This window comes from Homo sapiens, chromosome 12 (genome assembly GCF_000001405.40).
Source record: "Homo sapiens chromosome 12, GRCh38.p14 Primary Assembly".
Lineage (NCBI taxonomy): Eukaryota > Metazoa > Chordata > Mammalia > Primates > Hominidae > Homo > Homo sapiens.
In genome coordinates, this window is record NC_000012.12 from 59,956,684 (window position 1) to 59,978,152 (window position 21,469).

The window sequence follows — 21,469 nt, forward strand, 5'->3', positions numbered from 1 at the left end:
AGTTTCTGCACTCCTGTGCTCATCCCAGCATTGTTCACAATAGCCAAGATATGGAATCCACCTATGTGCCCATCAACAAATAGATAAAATATAAATAAATATATATATACACACACATATACACACACACACAAACACACAATGGTATACTATACAAACTTAAAAAAGAAATAAATCCTGTTATTTGTAACAACATAGATGAACCTGGAGGACATTATGTTAACCGAAATAAAAAAGTCACAGAAAGACAAATACCATGTGATTTCAATGATATGTGGGATCTGTAAAAGTAGAACAAGTAGAATGGTGGTTACGAGAATCTGGGGATAGGGCAAGAGTTGGAGAGATATTGATCAGAAAGTACAAATTTTCAGTTAGATAAAAAGAACAAGTTCAAGAGTTCTATTGTACAACTTGGTGACTGTATTTAACAACAATGTGTTAGAAAATTACTAAGTGAATAAATGTAAGTTTTCTCACCTCAAAATATAAGTATGTGAGGTAAGACATATGTTAATTAGCCTGATTTAGCCATTCAACAATGTATACATATTTCAAAACATGTCATGCATAATATATAAAATTTTTATTTGTCAACTTAAAAAATTAATTAATTAAAAAAAGATTTGGTCTGGCAAAGGAAATAAATCCCAGATTATGAATATATGGCCTATCCAGAGAACAAGTAACTATGTTGTGTGTCTGGAAGTAAAATGGTGAACATCTAGAAAGATGAGTTAGACAGAAGCCACCTTGATAATATCCAAATAAAATATTTTATTAAAATTCTAAACATTTAAAAATTATTTTAGAAATCTCAGAATACTTTTTAACAGATGCTGATTGTACTATCGTAATGACTACAGATTTCTGAGAAACAAGCAACCAACCAGACTTCTTGGTTTAATTCCAAGTTCTAAGATAACATCCTTTTTCCTGTTAGAATAAAGAAGGTGGACTTCCTCCTTAGGTCAGCCAAGACATGAATCTGATTCTCTTTTCAGAGATCTTGAGTATCAATCCAAGGCACTCTCTTCCTATATGAAACTGTCATATGGAACCAAAAAGGAGCCTGCATAGCCAGGACAATGCTAAGCAAAAAGAACAAAGATGGAGGCATCACACTACCTGACTTCAAACTATACTACAAGGCTACAGTAACAAAAACAGCATGGTAATGGTACCAAAACAGATATAAAGACTAATGGAACAGAACAGAGGCCTCAGAAATAACACCACACATCTACAACCACCTCATCTTTGACAAATTTGACAAAAACAAGAAATTGGGAAATGATTCCCTATTTAATAAATGGTGTTGAGAAAACTGGCTAGCCATATGCAGAAAGCTGAAACTGGATCCCTTCCCTGCACCTTATACAAAAATTAATTCAAGATGGATTAAAGACTTAAACATAAGACCTAAGACCTAAAACCATTAAAACCCTAGAAGAAAACCTAGGTGATAACATTCAGGACACAGGCATGGGTAAAGACTTCATGATCAAAACACCAAAAGCAATGGCAACAAAATCCAAAATAGACAAATGGCATCTAATTAAACTAAAGGCTCTGCACAGCAAAAGAAACTATCATCAGAGTGAACAAGCCACCCACAGAATGGGAGAAAATTTTTGCAATCTATCCATCTGACAAAGGGCTAATAACCAGAATCTATGAAGAACGTAAACAAATTTACAAGAAAAAAAAAAACATCCCCATCAAAAAGTGGGCAAAGCGTATGAACAGACACTTCTCGAAAGAAGACATTTATGTAGCCAATAAACATGAAAAAAAGCTCATCATCACTGGCCATCAGAGAAATGCAAATCAAAACCACAATGAGATACCATCTCATGGCAGTTAGAATGGCGATCATTAAAGTCACGAAACAACAGATGCTGGAGGGGATGTGGAGAAATAGGAATGCTTTTACACTGTTGGTGGGAGTGTAAATTAGTTCAACCATTGTGGAAGTTAGTGTGGCAAATCTTCAAGGATCTAGAACTAGAAATACGATTTGACCCAGCAATCCCATTACTGAGTATATACCCAAAGGATTATAAATCATGCTACTGTAAAGACACATGCACACAATATGTTTATTGCGGCACTGTTCACAACAGCAAAGACTTGGAACCAACCAAAATGCCCATCAGTGATGGAATGGATAAAGAAAACGTGGCACATATACACCATGGAATACTATGCAGCCATAAAAATAGTTGAGTTCATGTCCTTTGCAGGGACATGGATGGAGCTGGAAACCATCATTCTCAGCAAACTAACACAAGAACAGAAAACCAAATACCGCATGTTGGCACTCATAAGTAGGAGTTGAATAATGAGAACACATGGACACAGGGAGGGGAACATCACACACCAGGACCTGTTGGGGAGCCGGGGGCTAGGAAGGGGTAGCATTAGGAGGAATATCTAATACAGATGATGGGTTGATGGGTGCAGCAGACCACCATGTCACATGTATACCTATGTAACAAACCTGCACATTCTGCACATGTACCCCAGAACTTAAAGTATAATAATAAAAAAAAAGAAACTGTATTTCTACAGGCATCTTTGCATGAAATGCACACATGCATAAATCTTTCCCATTTAAAGAAAATAAGTTCTTGACTCCCTTTACTAATCCAGATGCTATTTCTTGTTCCTTTTCATAACAACTTCTTAAGGAGTAATCTAAAATGTTTTTTGTCAATTTTTCACTGTCTACTCACTTTCCAACCCATTCCATTTTAATCTTTATCACTCCACTCTAAGTGTAAAAGCACCAATGTTCTTTTTGTCACTGAATAAAAAGACATTTCTTAAGGCATTATCTTATGTGACCTTTCAGCATAATTTTACCTAACCTCTTTCTCCCTGAAGCAATCCATTTCTGTTAAACATTCTCCTGGTTTCCATCTGTTCTCCTTTCTATCTTTACTACCTTCCTTTAGATGCTGATGTTGCCCAGGATTCTTTGAGTCAGGTTTTTCTGCTCCTACACACTCTTCTGTCACAACCCCATTCATTCCCAAGGCTTCATTTACCATCTACATACCAACGATTTCTATATTACTATGTCTAGTCCAAACCCCTTTCTGAGCTTGAGATTTCCATTTCTAACTGCTTATTTGACATCTTATGTATCAAAAGCATCTGAAAATCAGCCCCATCTAATTGTTTAAACTTGAAATCTATAAATCATGCTTTACTCTGTAGTTTCTTAATCCCCATTTCTAATAAAAACTAAAATCTGGTTTAAAAATATTCCTAGTAATTTATTGTGAATTTTGGGGCCTATAATTTATTTTTTGTTTATATTTTATTGTGGTAATATACAGATAACCTAAAATTAGCCTTTTAAACAATTTTTAAATGCAGTAAAACAGCATTAAGTACATTTACATGATTACAAAACCACCACCACTATCCAACTCCAGAAATTTTTCATTAGTCTAAATCAAAGCTATTGTTTTAATCAAGAATATTTCTTCATAATCCACTGATTTTCTTCCATGATCATTGCTTCTATACTATATTATTGCTGTTGATTCCTAAATAGTATTTCTACATACATACTTTATATTATAATCCAATCCTCATATTTTAGGCTATTTTTTAAAGTTTTAGACTGAGGTTCCATTGTGTTTAGGAAAAAAAGTTAATGCATAAAGCAAGTCTTTTCTAGTTTTATTTTCTGTTGTTCTTTTGCTTAATGTGCTTTAATGGTTTTATTTAAAAGTTTTCAACTTTTTCAAATCAGCTTTGCTTGCTCTTACCATACTTGGCAGTCTTTGCATGTGCTATGCCATCTCCTTGGAAATCTCTCATTGCCATCTAAGTCATATTCATGCTCAATGTAGGAGACTTTACCAAATATTCCAATCTAGGTTATGGTCATCTGATACATTCTGCCATGCCACCATGCAAGTCTTGATTTCTGTTACTCAATGTTCTCAAAATTAACTTGGTCAAAGTTTTGTTTTTAACACTAGAGTGAAATCTTCAGAAGATGATATCAATAACATTTCTGATACTTAATATTTGTTGGATGTGTAAATGTCTCAAATATTTATGGTGTCTACTCTTCCAGATACTATTTTAGGCACTAAAGATACAGCAATGAGCAAAATTGAAGTCATTGCTCTCTTGGAGATGCCATTCTGGTAATACAACGTTGACAATGAAACAAAACAAATAAATTCATATCAGTTGATAATGTGCTAAGAAGAAAATTAAAGCAGGATAATGGAAGAGTGATTAGTATAATATTTTACATAGGTTGAAGACAGTTTTCTTTTTGATAAGGCTTTATTTAGTGAAATACTTGAATGAAATAAAGTACCATGATGGATATCTAACAGGAAAGCAATTTAGAAAGAGGGATTCTCAAAGGGCACAAGGCAGTGTGGGCTTGACTTGATCAAGGAGGAAGCCAGTACTCCTGGGGTAGAGCAAGTGAGAAAATGGTAAGAGGACAGCAGATGAGCCAGCATCTAGGGCTTTAAGAACACAGTTAGGATTTTGACTGAAATAGTGAGCTATTGCACATTTGTGAGTGCAAAAGTGACATGATCTGGCTTTCTTTTTCAAAAGAACAAGATGGCTGCCTTGCAAAGTATAGGCTTTAGAGAGAGTGAGTATGGAATTAGAAAGACCTCATAGGAGACTACTTACATGGTCCTGGTAAGTGATGATAGGTTAGAGCAAAGTGATCAAAGTAGAAATATTTAGAACTGGTTTGATTCAGGATAAGTAAGGTAGAACTAACAGAATTTGCTTATGAATTTGCTGTGGGATAACAAACATGGAACAGCTTACTATTTCACTCGCAGTCCTAACTATGGTCTTAAAGCCCTAGATGATCACTCATTTGCTGTTCTCTTACCACTTTCTCACTTGCCCCACCCCAGGAGCACTGGCTTCCTCCTTGACCAAGTCAAGCCCACATTGCCTCAAGCCCTCTGAAAATCCCTCTTTCTGGATTGCCTTCCTGTTAGATATCCACCATGGAACCTTATTTTATTTAAGTATTTGAAAAATTAAACTATAATATATATAATTCCAAGAGTTTTGGCTTAAGAAACTGGGTGGATGATGTTGTCATTTACTGAGATGAAAATAGAGAGGAGCAGATTTGATAGTGGCAATAAACAACTCAGTTCTGGACATATAAAGCTGAGATAACTCAAACATAGTCAAGTGAAATAGTGAGTAGAGAGTTAAATATATGAATAAATAAATTTCACTTACTGTGTAGTCATGAAACAAACACGCTGAGCCTTGGTTTCTTGGTCTACAAATTAACCCAGTTACATTCTTTTTTGTGATTAAAAGAGATATAAATTCAAGTATTCAAACTATACCAATATGAAATAAACATTCCATACATTTTAGGATTTTTTTCTCTCATTAAAAGTCAGCTGATTTCATAATTTTTGTGAGATCCAAATAGGGTATAGGAAAATTTCTATAAACTCAGAAACATCAAAATATAAAGTGTTAGTACTATTACCACTGGCAATATAACTAATAAGATCTCGGTACATTAAATTTGTTTTTATGCTAGCGTTGCTTTTGGAGTATAAGGCAACAGATTAAATATGTATAGGAAATATAAGGTCTATTTCTTTGGCTTTTGTGTAGTAGAAATCTCAAGAAAAAGAAGCTGTTTTATTTTCTTGACCTTTATATAACCTTCAAGTCAATAGAAAATTGTAGTTCTTAATCATTAGTTAGACAAAAGTCATATTAGTACCCAAGTATTATTTATGGCATTAATTTCTTAGAAGATACATTACAAGTGGGATAATTTTTCCTGTGAAAGAAAAGATACAATCAACTAGGAATCACGACCACTTTTCAGGATATAGAAATAGATGGTGTTCAGTGCCACAAATACAATTTATCCTGGTATAATCTGGTTTCAGTCTGATTAGACATCAGATAAAGGGAGCAACACAAGCAGAATATCTTCTCTAATAAAACCAAATTTTTATTACAAACCTATCAGTAGTGCTCTTCTTTCTTTAATCTTTGTCAACGTCAACTATTCTAAGTCCTGAATACTCATGAGACGCTGATAAAGACAGTATATCCTTTCTGCCCTTTTTATCAGCATAATGTAGAAAATGAAAAAAGGATCTCATTCTGATATCTATCATGTTAATGGTCATGAAAGTAAGATAGAAAAATGACATATTCATTTATTTAATGTAATAGGTTTAGTTCCAAAAGTCAGAGAGAAGAGATCAAGTGAGATAGTCATTTCTGAGTTAAAAAAAACTGACTATGGTCCTATAGAAACTCACTAATAAGTGTTTAATAAATTCTAAGATGGAGATCAAAAAGAACAATTCAAAAGAGATTTTCAACCAAAAGTCAAATACGTTTTTATATTCCTATATTTCCTCTGTGAAAAGCTACATTGTCTGAGAGTAGTTCTGAAAACCAAAAATAAAACATTTAAAAAATGGAAGAATAAAGCTAATAGTAAAATGTTGAAAGTGACAACTTGATCAGTGTGAAAATGTATGAAGTAAGCAGACTGACAATAGTATATTAAACTCTGAGTAAGAGTCAGGCAGAGGAGGAGGAGTCATCACCAGCAACTGTTAGATATAAAGGCACCAAAGTGTGCTCCTTCAATTAAGTAACTGGCTTTTCTCTCCTTATTTTGTTGTATTTAACTTAGAGGTCTGAGTTGCGATATGCATCTTATCCTTATGTCTGGTTTAATGACCTTGAACATGAAAACCTGTCTTTAACCCCCAATTCTTGGTTTGCATATGGATTATGATTTCCATTACCTTTGCTTTTGATCACTTAGTTTTTGCTTAGTTTACACCACAGATTTCACTGCTTTTTCCTGACTCATAACTTTTTATTGCCTCCTTTCCTTGATGGCTTTGCTTGTGTATCTAATCCTTAACCTCCTCTAACTCTGATTAACTCAACTATGGTGGCCCATATAAAGAACCAGACACTCATTGGCAATGAAGATGATTTAGTTCGGATAAGAGGTTAAGTGATAATTGGATATGTTTTACTGTGCCTTTTACAATCAGAAGGTGCTAAAAATATTCCTCTCACCTCTCAGAGTCCAAAAGCTGAGATACATCCCTGTTATCTTTGGTAAGGCCTTTTCCTTGGTAGATAATTTCCTGACTTCAGCATGTTCTCTTTGAGTGCAGAAAAAGAAAAGCTATTGCTGTTTGCAAAGTTCTCAGCTTTCCTGCAGAATACATTGCTTTATTCATTAAATCAATAAATATTTCCTGAATAGGCAGAGCACTATAGTAAACATTAAGAGATCTAAAGCAAGGTAAGGCTCAGACCCAAAACCCCGAAGCTTATCAGTGCTAGACACCTGGACCAAAAGGTCATCTCTGAATCTTGATAGCAGTACCTTATGTATGTAGGTGGCAATTCTCTTAGGGTTCTTATAAAATCATACAATGGCAACTAAGTGTCTTGCACTGTGGCATGTTTTAGTCTGTTTCGTCTTAATGGAGATTGTCAGAGAATGTAGAATTAAGGACGAAAGAAAGAAACTGCATATACTTTCAATGTATGCATTTTTAGAAACACACAGCACTTAATAAATGCTCTAATAACATTAAGCAAGATTAAAAGGGTTTTATTGATCTGTATAGATTTATATTTGGACAAAAATTATTTTCTTAGAATATATTCCAAGTAAAATAGCTAACCAAATGAGAGTGTAAAAAAAATTCTTCTGGAGGTCCTTGCAATATATCAGACCTGAGTGCATGTATGTGTCATGATTTCCTATCATCCTACTTTTTATGAATCCAAACAAATTGGTTGCTTCTATACTAGTATCTGAAATATGTTATATTCAAAAAGCAATATTATAACCTTTACTCAGTGATTTTTAACATTCTAACTGATTTGTCAGCTGAATGTGTTTTCCAAATGCTTTCATTAGTTATACATTTTTCTTTTATTTTACAAATCTTTCCAAGAGAAATATAAGAAATGATTACATTTCCAGAACAAAAGAAGAAATACATGTCCAGATTCTGAATGGACTGTCTCAAAGAATCTTCACCCTTAGAGGGGAAGTTATTGATAATTAGGCTAACTCTTTTCACGAATGAAGACCCTGTGATTTATGTCAAGTCGTTTCTTTTCAAATCAGGCAATATAGCATAATGCTTACCTATCAAGGCATTTGGAAAAGACTCAGAGGTTCCATGCCAGCTGTGCCTCTTTCTAGAAAGTCAGCTATTCTCTCAATTATCATCATTATCTGTTAAATTAGAATAACAACACTTCTTACCTCACAGGGTTATTTTAGGATTATATGTGACCCTGCATACAGAGCACCTAGTAGGGGGTCTAATAATATTCTCTCTCAGCTTGACTCTAATTAGGGACTGCCCAAGTGGAAAGGTGAGAATAATTATTCACAGGCTTGTCTTTAAGAATCCATGAGAGACATTTAAGTTTAACACAAAGGAGGAAGAGAGAACAAATATGTATGTTGGGAGTGGTTGGGGAATGGTGGGTAAAAAGGAATTTGCACCTTGCTAAAATCAGTTCAGTGAAATATATTTAATGATGTATACCAAATCTCCAAAGGAATATGAAAGTGGAATGGAATCCGTGAGTAAAATAACCCATTGAGGGTTGCAGATCGGGCAGTGATAATGGCAAGTTTGGACTGACCACATAACCAAAACATTAAATGAGCTGAGAATTAAACTCAGGTTGTCTGATTCTTAATTTAGAGCCACTTTATCTTTCTTTCACACACCCCTAGGATGACATTCCTTGGCTTTTTTTTTTTTTTTTTTTGCTTTAAGTTAATGCAAAGATTGATGCCATTGTAAATTCTTCTATAATTTAGAACTGTTCTGGATTAGCTTAGTCCAAAGTTGAATTGACTACTGATCAAACCAATAGTAACATTCCCAGGATATGCAACTTGGATTCCTGAAAGATAGTTCTCTTATAAAATGACAAATTTCAAAGCAAATTATTTTGCCCATTTCTGTAGCAGTCTTATTTTCTTGTTCACTCACTGAGGTATAAGACATGACAAGCTTCCTTTGACAAGGTTTTAATTAGTTTCCATATGTGTTACTTTTATACCATGTGGTCCTGGAATTTTCTTTTTGTATGGGAAAAAAAAGGCCACTTAAACCGTTTTAATTATTTACCTGCATCAGTTCTGATAATCCCCAAACAGATGGCTTTGCCACTTTTTTGCTTATTTGTGCTTCTGATTTTTTTAAAGCTTTGCTTTCATTCCAGCAAGTCAGATGGACTACTTTCTGAGCAATTGTGTTAGAGAAAAAGTAAAAGATCAACTGTAGGTCAGCTGAAGGATTTTGTGCAGTTAAACTCAATTACAGGGAATGACTGAAATGAATTTAAAATTGCCTTTCCTGAAGGGTGAATGGATGTTGTCCTCTGGTTTCTGACAGGACAGTGCTCATACGGCTTTATCAAGACGGACAAGATTTTGGCTTTTTAAAATATATTTTTGGTCATGGGAGTTGGGTGGCAGAAAAGAAAGTTGTTGTTTGGTTTGAGCTTCATTCCATTTCCACAGCTGCATTAAACTAACAGCCAGTTTGGGCAAGAATAAATCATTTTGTATAAGCAAATGAGGCATGTATTTGACAGGACTGACTAATTTTTAACGTAGATGAATCTTTTCCACTCTTGAAAATGAAGGTGCTAGCTGTGCTGCCTTTTGAGAGTCAAGGGGGAACACTGACCCCTTTCTCTTCCTCTTTCTTCTTGACCTTGGTTAATCTTGTGCCTGGCAGAGAGCTGCAAAGAGGAGTCCACAGGAAGGCTTGAAGGCTATACTCTCTCAGAACTTTGACAATTCTTTCTAATCTCAGAGTGTCCCTTTATATCTCCGCCAGCCTAAAAATTCTATTTCCACCCCATCTCCTCTTTTCAAATCTCTGCTTTAAATTTGCCTCCTTCAAGAAACTTCTCCTTTTCAAGCTCCTCCACACTAATTCCCCAAAGCCTTTTGTTTGGCATTTACAGCATGAACACTTATTCTTATTTACATATTATACTTGAACACTTCTTTTAATATACGTATGAAAGTCCTGTGTTCTTAACTGGATTTTTAAATCCTTCTAAAGCCAGATATATTATTATTTCATTTTATGCTGTATAATACTTAATACTCTCTATCCAGACAGCATTCCAGAAACTTTGAAATTCCCTCTTCTCCCACCTCTCTGCCTCTCACTGATTTTTGAATTGGTATCCCGAGTTTCTTTCCTGCTCTTGATTTTCTTGGTTCACAGTCCTTCAGTTTTAGCAGTTGTGGCTATTTAGCCTCAGCTGATAACGCCATTCTCATTATTCACTACTCTGTTTATTTACTTCTACTTAATAATATATCTTATTTGCCATAGTATCTGTTCTAAATTTTCACTAGGCTTCTCAGTCTCCTTAGCCTTATAACTATTCTTGACTCCAGCAAATGACATAGCCTCCTACATTACTGCAAAATTTGAGGCTCTTCATCTCCTTTATCTCTACCTCTATTTTATAGGTGTATTTTCATACTACTATAAAGAACTGCCAGAGATTGGGTAATTTATAAACCCAAGGGGTTAGTTGACTCACAGTTCAGCAGGGCTGGGGAAGGCCTCAGGAAACTTACAATCATGACGGAAGGCGAAGGGGAAGCAAAGTACCTTCTTCACGAGGCGGCAGGAAAGAGAAGTGCCCAGCGAAGGGGGAAGAGCCCATTATAAAACCGTCAGAATCCATGAGAACTCACTCACTATCACGAGAACAGCATGGGGAAAACCGCACCCCTGATTCAACTACCTCCACCTGGTCTCTCCCTTGACAGGTGGGGATTATGGGGATTATCATTCAAGATGAGACTTAGGTGAGGACACAAAACCTAACCATATCACTCTGTATCTTCCCACCTGTCTCCTTTGTAGCTGCTGCCCCTGAAGAGGCGTCCTTCTTCCCCTCCAGCACATGCTGCTGATCCTTCCCATGACTTACTCTCCTCTCAGAAATGCTGACCCATGGATTACTTACTACTGCTACCATCTCTACTCCCCTTACTTAACAATGTGCTTGAATCTGTCTCTGACACATTGTAGATTCCCAAGAGCATTCTTGCATTCTTGGATGAATGAATGATTGCTCTTTTATTTTTTCTTCTTTTTTTTTGGATGGAGTCTCGCCGTTCTGTCGCCCAGGCCGGAGGGCAGTGGCGAGATCTCGGCTCACTCGGCTCACCGCAAGCTCCACCTCCCGGGTTCACACCATTCTTCTGCCTCAGCCTCCCGAGTAGCTGGGACTACAGGTGCCCGCCACCACGCCTGGCTAATTTTTTGTATTTTCAGTAGAGACGGGGTTTCACCGTGTTAGCCAGGATGGTCTTGATCTCCTGACCTCGTGATCCGCCCGCTTCCGCCTCCCAAAGTGCTGGGATTACAGGCGTGAGCCACCACGCCTGGCCAGTGATTGGTCTTTTCTAGCTACTCTTTTTCTCCATCTAGCTACTCTTTTTCTCCACTTTTAATATCAAAGTGCTGTATATATTAGGCAACATTTGGTGTCTTTACTTTCTAATCACAGATGAATTGCGTAATTCTAGAAATCACATTTCTGTGTTCATCACATCACTGAAATTCCTTTCAGCAGCAGACAGGAGACTCCTCCGTGTTGCTTTCTAACATCTTCTCTCATCTCTTGTTTTTCTTTATTTTTTCTCTTGGCTCTACATGTCATTCACTTAGTTTTGAAATTTTCGAATCTGGTTCACTGTTAATTGCACCCTCTTTTTTCCCTTTACATTTAAGTGTCTTCCCAAGTTTATTTTTTCCTTTCATCTACTCATTTTTTCCCCTTGAAAATCTTACATAATTGGGTGGTTTCAGTAATCATATTTTTCCTAAATTATCTCATAGTTACATCTTTTGAACTAACATATCACCTACAGGAATTTCTACCTAGAATTCCAGAAAACTGCCTGATCAATCTTGGATCCCAAACTTAAATTCAGCATGCTGTCTTCCTAACGTGTCTACGTTACTTTACAAACAAATCCCTAAAAGTATTTTTATTATTTGCAATAATATTATCCAAACTAATCAATCCATTATTTTTGACTCACCTACAATGTGTGTCATATGTTTCGTCTTATTTCTTATCTGGCTGCCACCTCACCTGTTTAGGCTAACACACCTGTTCATGCCTCTATTATGTCTTGTAGTTGGTTCTTAGCAATTACCACAACTCCAATATTTACTCCATTAATCCTCTGCACTCTTCTATGCCAGCTTAATTTTTCTCTATTGATGAGGCTAACAGTAGCTATATTATAATAAATAAACAACTAAATATCAGTGGATAAATGCAACAAAATGTTAATTATAGTTCACATAAGGGTCCAAGATCATCCCAGGTAGACAAGGAAGGTTGTGAATTTGCCCCATGTAGTTATTCAGAAGCTTAGACTGGCAGAGGCTTTGACAGCCAAAATAGATGGCTCCCAATGTTGCCTTGAACCTCAGCATCCAACTGATTGGGTGGGATAGAACAGCATGGAATTTCCTGTGGGAGGTAATTATATGCACTATGATAGAAAATGAAGGCAATAACTTGTGCATCCATTTCACAGGTTAGAATTTATGGCCATATGGCCACATGTCACTGGAACAGTTCTAGAAAGTATCATTCCTAGCTGTTCAGGCACTTCTCAGTAACAATTCCATAGCATGGAACAGTAAAGCACAGTAGAAATATTTCAGTAGTAAAGCCATGTGGGCATAGAGTTTGCTTTGCAAATTCTCTTCTTGTAATAATTCAATTTCTTTAACAAATATAAAAGTGTCTCACCACGTGTGCACACCTTAGGAATCAGAAATGGAAAATTATACATAGAATAACGGATACACTTTTATGCATTCTATATTGTCCAATATATTCTATATTGACCCATGACTTTTTATCTCCTTAGTAGCTCTGAACGTCAATATTTGTCTTTCCAGCCAAGTGAGGCTGCCACAAGGTTTTGGACACTGCTTTCTTATTGGCTTTTATGCCTTAGGAATAGAACCAGCAAAAATCTTAAGTGAAAAAAAAAGTTATGGTAAATGGTAAACACAGGACTTACTACAACATAATTACTGTTTCTTGGAAATATTATATTTTTGTTATCAATTGAAAGGTTAGTCCAAGGTAACCTATTCTATTTTAACTGTAAGCAAAAACCCCAATAGGGGATTTTAAGCAAGGAAGAAATGTGAGATTTGACTTAAATTTGAGAATTTCACTGTGAATACTGGGTAAGAATAGACTATAAGGGAGGAAGGGTAAAATTGGGAAGAAAAATTAGGTAGCTATTAAAATAATCCAGGTGAGAGATAAGCATTAAGAAAACATTGATGGTGCTATACATTCCCTCCATGTGAGGTCATTCTGCTATGCAGGACTGAAGAGCCCTGGCAATTCCCCTTTAAAGTGTCACCTTCCTGTGGCCCCAGTTTAACTTCTTTTGGAATACTGTCTACGAGTCAAAATAATAAACATTAGGTCGCCCTATAGCAGCACTGTAAATATATATAAGCATTTAATTAACCCTCCCTCTACTATGTATTTTCATTATCATAAAAGATCATATGGATATTTCCTTTCAAGTGTTAGTGATATAAATGAGCAAAATTAAATGTCAGAAATGATTTGCTTCACTTTGAAAAATATTTTCTTTCTCACTCCAAAAAAAAATCTGTCATTGATTGATTTATGTGGGATAAAACAAATCAATTCTTCTCTTGCATATCATCTATTTATTATTAATGAGATAAACAAGTATTTGCCCTCACTTAATGTTTATCTATTTAAAGATACATCAATGTAATATTATTGATTAAATTATAGCACATTGATTTTTAAAAACCATTCAGAATTCTTAAACCATGGGTACAAATCAGGCTTTCTTTAAATATTTTAGCTCTTCAGGCCAGGTGTGGTGGCTAACGTCTGTAATCCCAGCACTTTGGGAGGCAGAGGCAAGTGGATTACCTGAGGTCAGGAGTTCGAGACCAGCCTGGCCAACATGGTGACACCCTGTCTCTACTAAAAATACAAAGATTAGCTGGGCATTGTGGTGGGTGCTTGTAATCCCAGCTAATCGGGGAGGCTGAGGCAGAAGAATTGCTTGGACCAGGGAGGCGGAGGTTGCAGTGAGCCAAGATCGTGCTGTTGTACTCCAGCCTGGGCAACAAGAGTGAAACTCTGTCTCAAAAAAATAAATATGTATATATATATATATATATATATATATATATATATATATATATATATATATATGTATATATATATGCTCTTCAAAAAGCAGTATTACAGAGAGGTTGCCCTGGAATAAATTTGCTGGCTATAAAGGCTAGCCATGTTCCATGCTAGTATTATTAACCTGAGCATATGTACTTATTTAATAAAGGAATTGTGAAACCTAAGTAAAATAATCATGGAACATCCTTAGGAATAAGGACTTATGCTGGGATCACAATAAATTATTCAAATTTATAAATTGAATGCAAAGGATACCTTCATTTTTAGAGGCAAAATTTAAGGTATCTGCAAGATAATTTACTATTATCTTTTTAAAGTTTAGATGCTCTATTTCCTTCCAGCTACCCCATTATCAATAAATATCTAAGGTGAAATGAAGAGAATGCTAAGAGTTACCCGAAGCAAATTGTATTAGTAACAATAATAAAAATTTAATTGACAAAGACTGACAAACCAAAAAATGCTGAAGTTCAACTTTTTTTTCTCCTGTTTCTGTAGTTTTATAAAAACAGCAATTGAGAAAACATATTTCATTTTTCCTTTGGCTACCGAGGAATATAAATTGGTAAATATAAATCTACTTGTAATTCTGAAGGTATAGCATACTTTATCAAGCAATTGGGTGCTTCATAATCTGGCTCAATTGCAATTGGATTGTTGATATGCCAAAGTGAGCTCCAAATACATAAAAATAACTTTGATTGATATATTTTAACGTGAGCAAAGTGATACCTCAAACCTGCATCTTAGCTCATGAGATAAAACATGAGTGGCAGGCATTGCTAAGACTATTCCCTTATGGATGACTGCTGCAGCATATTGAAGAAAACACATTATTAATGGGCTATACTTAGGACATAAAGTTTAGTCAGCAAGAGAAAAACAGCTTTAGTTAATAAAGATAAACAATAACTATTGACTCAGTAAAATGATTCTATATATTTCAAGGGTGTTTCATTGGTAGAAAAAAATTCTGTGTCAAGTATGGTATATTTCTCTTATGTCTTTTCACTTTCTATGATTTATTTTAAAATGTTTTTGAGTACTTTTTATAAGAAGGCACAGTGGGAGATGCAAAGATAAATAGGCACGGCCTCTAATGTCTTGATATAAGGTAGAATGTTATAATTGATAAGAAAACCACAAATATAAAATATGATGCTTGAAATAAAAGTCCACTCTGGCCAGAGAGATACAGTAAGACTGCAAAAATAGTGGTGTCTGATGTGGACTCCACCTGATAGATATTCATGCCTTTTAGAATAGAGGAAAGACATTTTTAAAGAAATGAAACATAGGAAATTGGAAATGGAGAAAATAAAAGTTATGTGTAAGAACCAAAAAAAAAAAAAAAAACACCAAAATCTACATTAGGTTAGAAAAGTTAGGTTGGGTCCAGGTTGTTGAATAATACAGGGTTTATTTCTTTACTCCTGGGACATTTTGGGACTACTGCAATTTTTTGAGCTGACAAATTTCGGGGTGTGTATTAAAGAATTATTTATATCTCAGGACTTTATTAGATTGTTTAGAGAGGGAAAATAATTGGGACAGACAGATCAATTAAAAGCTTATGAAAGTAGACCAGCTAAACTGATTTTAGAGCCTGAGCCTGAATAGGAATGGAACTAAGATAAGGCATTTTTAATTTTTACTTACTGATCTTCCTAAATTATTGCCTCTGTGTAGTTTAAATTCCAATTTAATTTATTGAAAAGTAAAATTAGAAAGTGCAAGTGAAGCTGTAAGTATGACAACATACTTCATAGAACTTGAAATAATACTTAGGCCACAGTTTCCAGGTTTCAGTAGCTGAAACCCCAATTTGGAGGAGTGAGAGCTGCGTCAGTACAGGTTGTTTAAAAGTGACCACTCCAGGCAATTTGGTGATCCTGTTCCCTGAGTAGCAGTGTCTGAGAAAGAAATTTGCATTCAGGAAATTGGTTGGAGAATGCTCTCAGACCAACACCTGACTGGAGCCGGACAGACTTTGGGAGAATTGAACTCCAAAGGCCTCAACCAATCCTCTGCAGAGCTCTAGAACTGAGATAACCTTTCAGAGTCGTCGTGGATTGGGAAAAGGAAACACTAGAGTAGGGCTGGCCAAAAAGAATTCAGCTATCAGTACTTCCAGTGGCTGAGACAATGAGTGCTTCAGTCCAAAAAGTGGTGGTGTCGCAATCTGGACAACATACCACAATAAAGTATACAAGGGAGTAGAGATGGGAAGTCATGTGTAACCTGAGTTCTTTAAGAAGATAATGTCAGCATTGTGGGATGAGAAGCAATTTTCATTTAAAGAGTTAAGTCATCACTGAGTCACACATTTAATTAATTATTCTCCTATTTTTGAATATTTCCTAAATATTTTTTCATTACATTATAATAAGCATCTTATCAGGCATAGTTTTCCATTAGAATTTTTTTAGAATATTTGCTTTTGATATATTCAAATCTCCATGCTTTCAAGGTAAATATAAATACTGATTCTCTAAGTAATAGAATCTGTCAGTTTCTGAAGATCTTCTACTAGATGAATGCATGGCTTCATTCATTCAAAGTTCATTCAAGATTAATCTAACAGAGATTAATTGGCTGCCTAAATGCCTGAAAGTAAACCACTAACGATTACTCATCAGTCAAAAATTTACATTTACCCTGCCCATATCAGAGCTTCATCTTTCTCAATTAATATTACCCAGTGAATCACACAGTTTCACAGTAAACTCTCTTCCTCTGAATTTATAAAGCACAGATACGATCTGGTCATACTATTCTTTATTGGCTGGTGCAATCATGGAAGATGAACAAGCCAGGCAGGAATCAGATGTAAGGAATCACACAATTACTACTGCAGGATGATTCCACAGCTTGTGGTAAGAAATAATTATGGAATGGTGCACAATAACTGTGATTAACTGTGCACCATAACAGGGATGGCGACCTGTCACTATTTGGCCACTGCCTATTCTTTACTGGCAGCAAGTGCCCACAAAATGTGGCAGAGTTGGATGCGGTGACAGAGAGCAAGAGAAAGCAGAGGGTCTAACGGATTTCCTTAGGGCACTTTCAGTGTTGCTAATCAAGAAAGAGCTGTATCTGTATCTAAGCTATACTTATGTCTATATTTCTCTCTATATCTAGTTAATCTATATTTACATAATAGGTATTTTTGTTGTGTGTAATATAATCAGGGCACTTTTATATTCGTTAATTCTTCTGGCAACCCTTTGAAGCAGGAGTTAATGCTATCAATTTTCAAACATATGTTACATAGAAATGGCAGACCTAGAATTGAATCACAGAACAGTCTATTTCAAGCCCACATTCAGAGGTTCCCAATCCAGGCTACCCAGAAGAAACACACTTGGAGCTTAAAAGCAATTACAGAGGCTGGACCACATACCTGGGAATTCTGATTCAATAGGTCTGAGATAGAATCTCAAAAATGTGCGCTTTAAAAATGCATGGGTGGTTCTGACAAAAAACTAAGATGGAGAACTATCGCCTGTAATTATTCCAGTCTATTTTTCTGCATTTTATGTCAAAAAGAGATGGCCACCAAGTTTCCCAGATTGCTTATTATTGAGAGTACTTAGTATTGAGAATATATACACTATGCCTGAAGGTTATGCATTGTGGATGTCTGGTCAAAAAAGTTTCTGTTCCTGTTTAACATCACAGCCATCTGTTATACTCATAAACTTGTAAAAATATTTTATAAGTTATTATGTAAAAATGTACTAATATTATAGATAAGCAGGACATATTGACATCATAGTAAAATTGTTGCATCAATGATGCAAATAATTAAAATACTTAAGTAGAAATATTATTTTCCCTACAGAAATTTTCCTGTTGTAAATACTTTTTGCCATTCTTGATTTATTTCTATTCATAAAATTTTATTTGCATTTTCACTAATGACCATTTAAATTATAATTTCTTAATGGTGCGCAAGTTGCATCAAGATGCCGAGCATTACTGTGAATGGAGATTTTTCAGTCTGAACCCATATGAAAGAACCAACACAGTGAATACCTATTAAGTTATAAGCACCGAACTAGGTACATTAAATTGTTTTAAATTGAGCACTTACTATGTGTCTGACATTATGCTAGGAATTTTATATTTATTTAATTATCAGAACAACCTAGGGATTGGGGAAGCATTCCTGCTTTCTATCTACAGATGATATAGCCAAGGGTCAGAGAGGGTAGGCTAGCTGCTCACGACCACACAGCATCCAAACTAGAGCCGAATTCAATGCAGGTAAATTATCTGAATTATGATGGCTTCCCAAATTGTTTTTGATATTAGGGTATCTAATATTCCTTTTATTGGTTTGAGTGTTATTCTAATTTCTGCTGTGACATTTATTCATTCATTCATTTGTTGTTTCTTAAATTCAGATTTTCATATATATCTGACTCTCTATTCCATTTTTTGCCTTTTCTTTAGATGTACGATGCACAGTATGTTTATCTGGGCCGCTTTCTTTACTATTTATTGTAGTAAAGAAATAATTCACCATATTGGGGAAATATAAATCTAGGAAATGCTATCATTTTCTCAGAAATGGCTGTTTGATATTAAACCTTGTTAATTGTTTCAGCGTGCTAGATATCTAATACAATACTGACAATATTTCCAAAGAAATGCAAATATTTTTGCTTTTTTTAAAAATATTTTCTGTAATTAGCTGTTTTCTAAAAGGGGCTGGTATATTAGTTGTCATCTTTTTGATAAATGCGGAAAGAATTGCCTAACCCTGTGGTATTCCCAGAACATCACTCTCATAATTCTTACATTTTGTAAAAGGTACCCAGATGTGCCTGCTTTCCAGATTATTCAGTTTAGATTGATACAGAGTATTAAGCTCAAAGTCACCAATCCCCACCATATAAAATACACAGAAAATGCCTCCAATAATTTTTCAAGCATAGTTCTTCTCACGTATTGCATCATTTTATTCAGAATGTACAATTTAAAAATGTCCATTTGGACCTCCATAGTAGATACATTTGTCAGCATAGGTCTGGGAAATGTTGCTTAAAGGCTAATGAGTTGAGTTCTGTACTTTAGGAGGTACCTTTTTGATCCCAAAATGTTCAGTTTGAAAATGGAAGCAATGAGAAATGGTAACTGTATTGATATTTGAACAGTTCTTTTTGGTCACCTACTCACATTTCTCTTCACTCAAATCCACTAGGTACGTTGGTCTGTCTCTAATGAAGGACACTAGGTACGTTGGTCTGTCTCTAATGAAGGACACTAGGTACGTTGGTCTGTCTCTAATGAAGGACACATGATAGATGACTATATTCCAGGGTTTTGATGCAAGGAAAAAAGGTACCTACATTCTCCTGTCTCTATTTCATTCTCCTGTCTCTATTTCATTCTCCTTCTTTTTTGCTCTTGCTCTCATTCTTCCTTATTTTTTTCTCCTTTCAAGAGCTGCAATTTTAGCATTATAATAAGATTTGGGAATGAGAGTGACCCCAGATTAGAAGCTACTTTCTTTGGCTTTGGGGAACAAAAGGACAAGAAATAAATCAGGCTGAAAGAAATATTTCTTGCCTTTCTAGTAAAGAAGGGAGTTCCTCAGGTGTTCAACCTACCTCACCATGGGGAAGAACAGGCAGGAATCCAAGGAAGAAGCATTGCTGAAGAATACAGAGTGTATTCATTCTTGAAGAATGGCATCTGAGTATTCATTTATTTTTTAATTCTTTTTTATACTTCAGTATGTTAGTGGGGGGTGGGCCTTAGTATAGATCCGTCATTCTCAATTCAGAAAGTATAGGGAGCTTTTAAGAGCTGCAAATACTATGTATTCTCCCTATTGGTTCAGTTTTAGTTGGTCAGGGCTCGCACACACCTAGTCATTGGACTCTTTAAGGTGCTTTTCATGTAATTCCTATATGCAGCCAAAAGTCAAAACCACTGATCCAGAGACAGCTAAAGAAACACTTCTGGTACTCAATTTCTACTTTAGATCAATCAATCCTGAATAAATTTTCAGAGTTTAATTAATTTCTAGACCAGTTCTCTGAGATTTATTTTGCAATATTAGTTTAGCAGTGTTTTCTGCAATGTCACCCTTTAGGTATTGTGGATTTCAAATTCAGGGGACTGAGCTTATGACACTCCAAAGCAAAGCAGTGACTTGAGGACACTCACCTGAGAAATTCCATTTTTAGGAACAGCCCTGAATTGCACATGACCAAGGAGTGATTCAGTTGGTATGTCAGTGTCACAGAGAAAGGATGGCAGGGCACGGTACAAGGAGGGCAATCACTGACCAGAAGATCCCGTGAAACTGAAAGAGTGAATGAAGGGAAAAGAGGGTTTTGAGAAATGATCAAGCTTGCGATCTTAGATCTGAATTGGTATTTAAATACTTATATTCAGTCGTAGTTCAGCAAGAAGATTTTTCTTATAATTTTCTCTAGCCAGGAATCATGCTCAAAGACAGACAACTCATTTCCTCAGGTGAGTCTAGGCAAATAATTTTATTTGATTAGGAGTCTGAAGATGTGGAAGCTAACTGGAATATCTGATATCAGTAACAAAAAGTCAGAAAAAAAGGAACATCACTGTATTTAATGTTGTTCTATTTAATCTTAACTGCAGCACTCTGTGATACTCTGAAAACATAAAAATGAATCGATATTGAGAATAGGGATTTTTCAAGTTATTTACTCTGGGATTAAGGTGATGCCTGACAAGAGATATAGTACGCTTTTCACACGGTGCTGTAGAATCTCACTGGAAATTTCTGCTTCATAAATAGGAAACTGTATAACATTATTATTTATATTCTTTATGTTGTCAAAATCAGGACTTAGTCAATGGTGTAGCGACCAAACCCGGAGACTAGGACGCTTTGCAGAAGAACCAGTAATGTTGAAACTGTGGGCAGTGACCCTACAGAAGGTGAAAACACATCTGAGACTCCAGAGTAACCAGGAAATAGCAAACTTAGACGTGGTTGGTCAGTATTAGGTGATTCAGAGAAAGGAAGCTACCCTCTTGAGAGAATGTCAGAGGATTTGATTAGCAATATGTAGCTTTTGTAGCTAAAGTAGTTTTATCATGGAACACAAAAATAGGACACTTCTTCTGGGACTGAGAT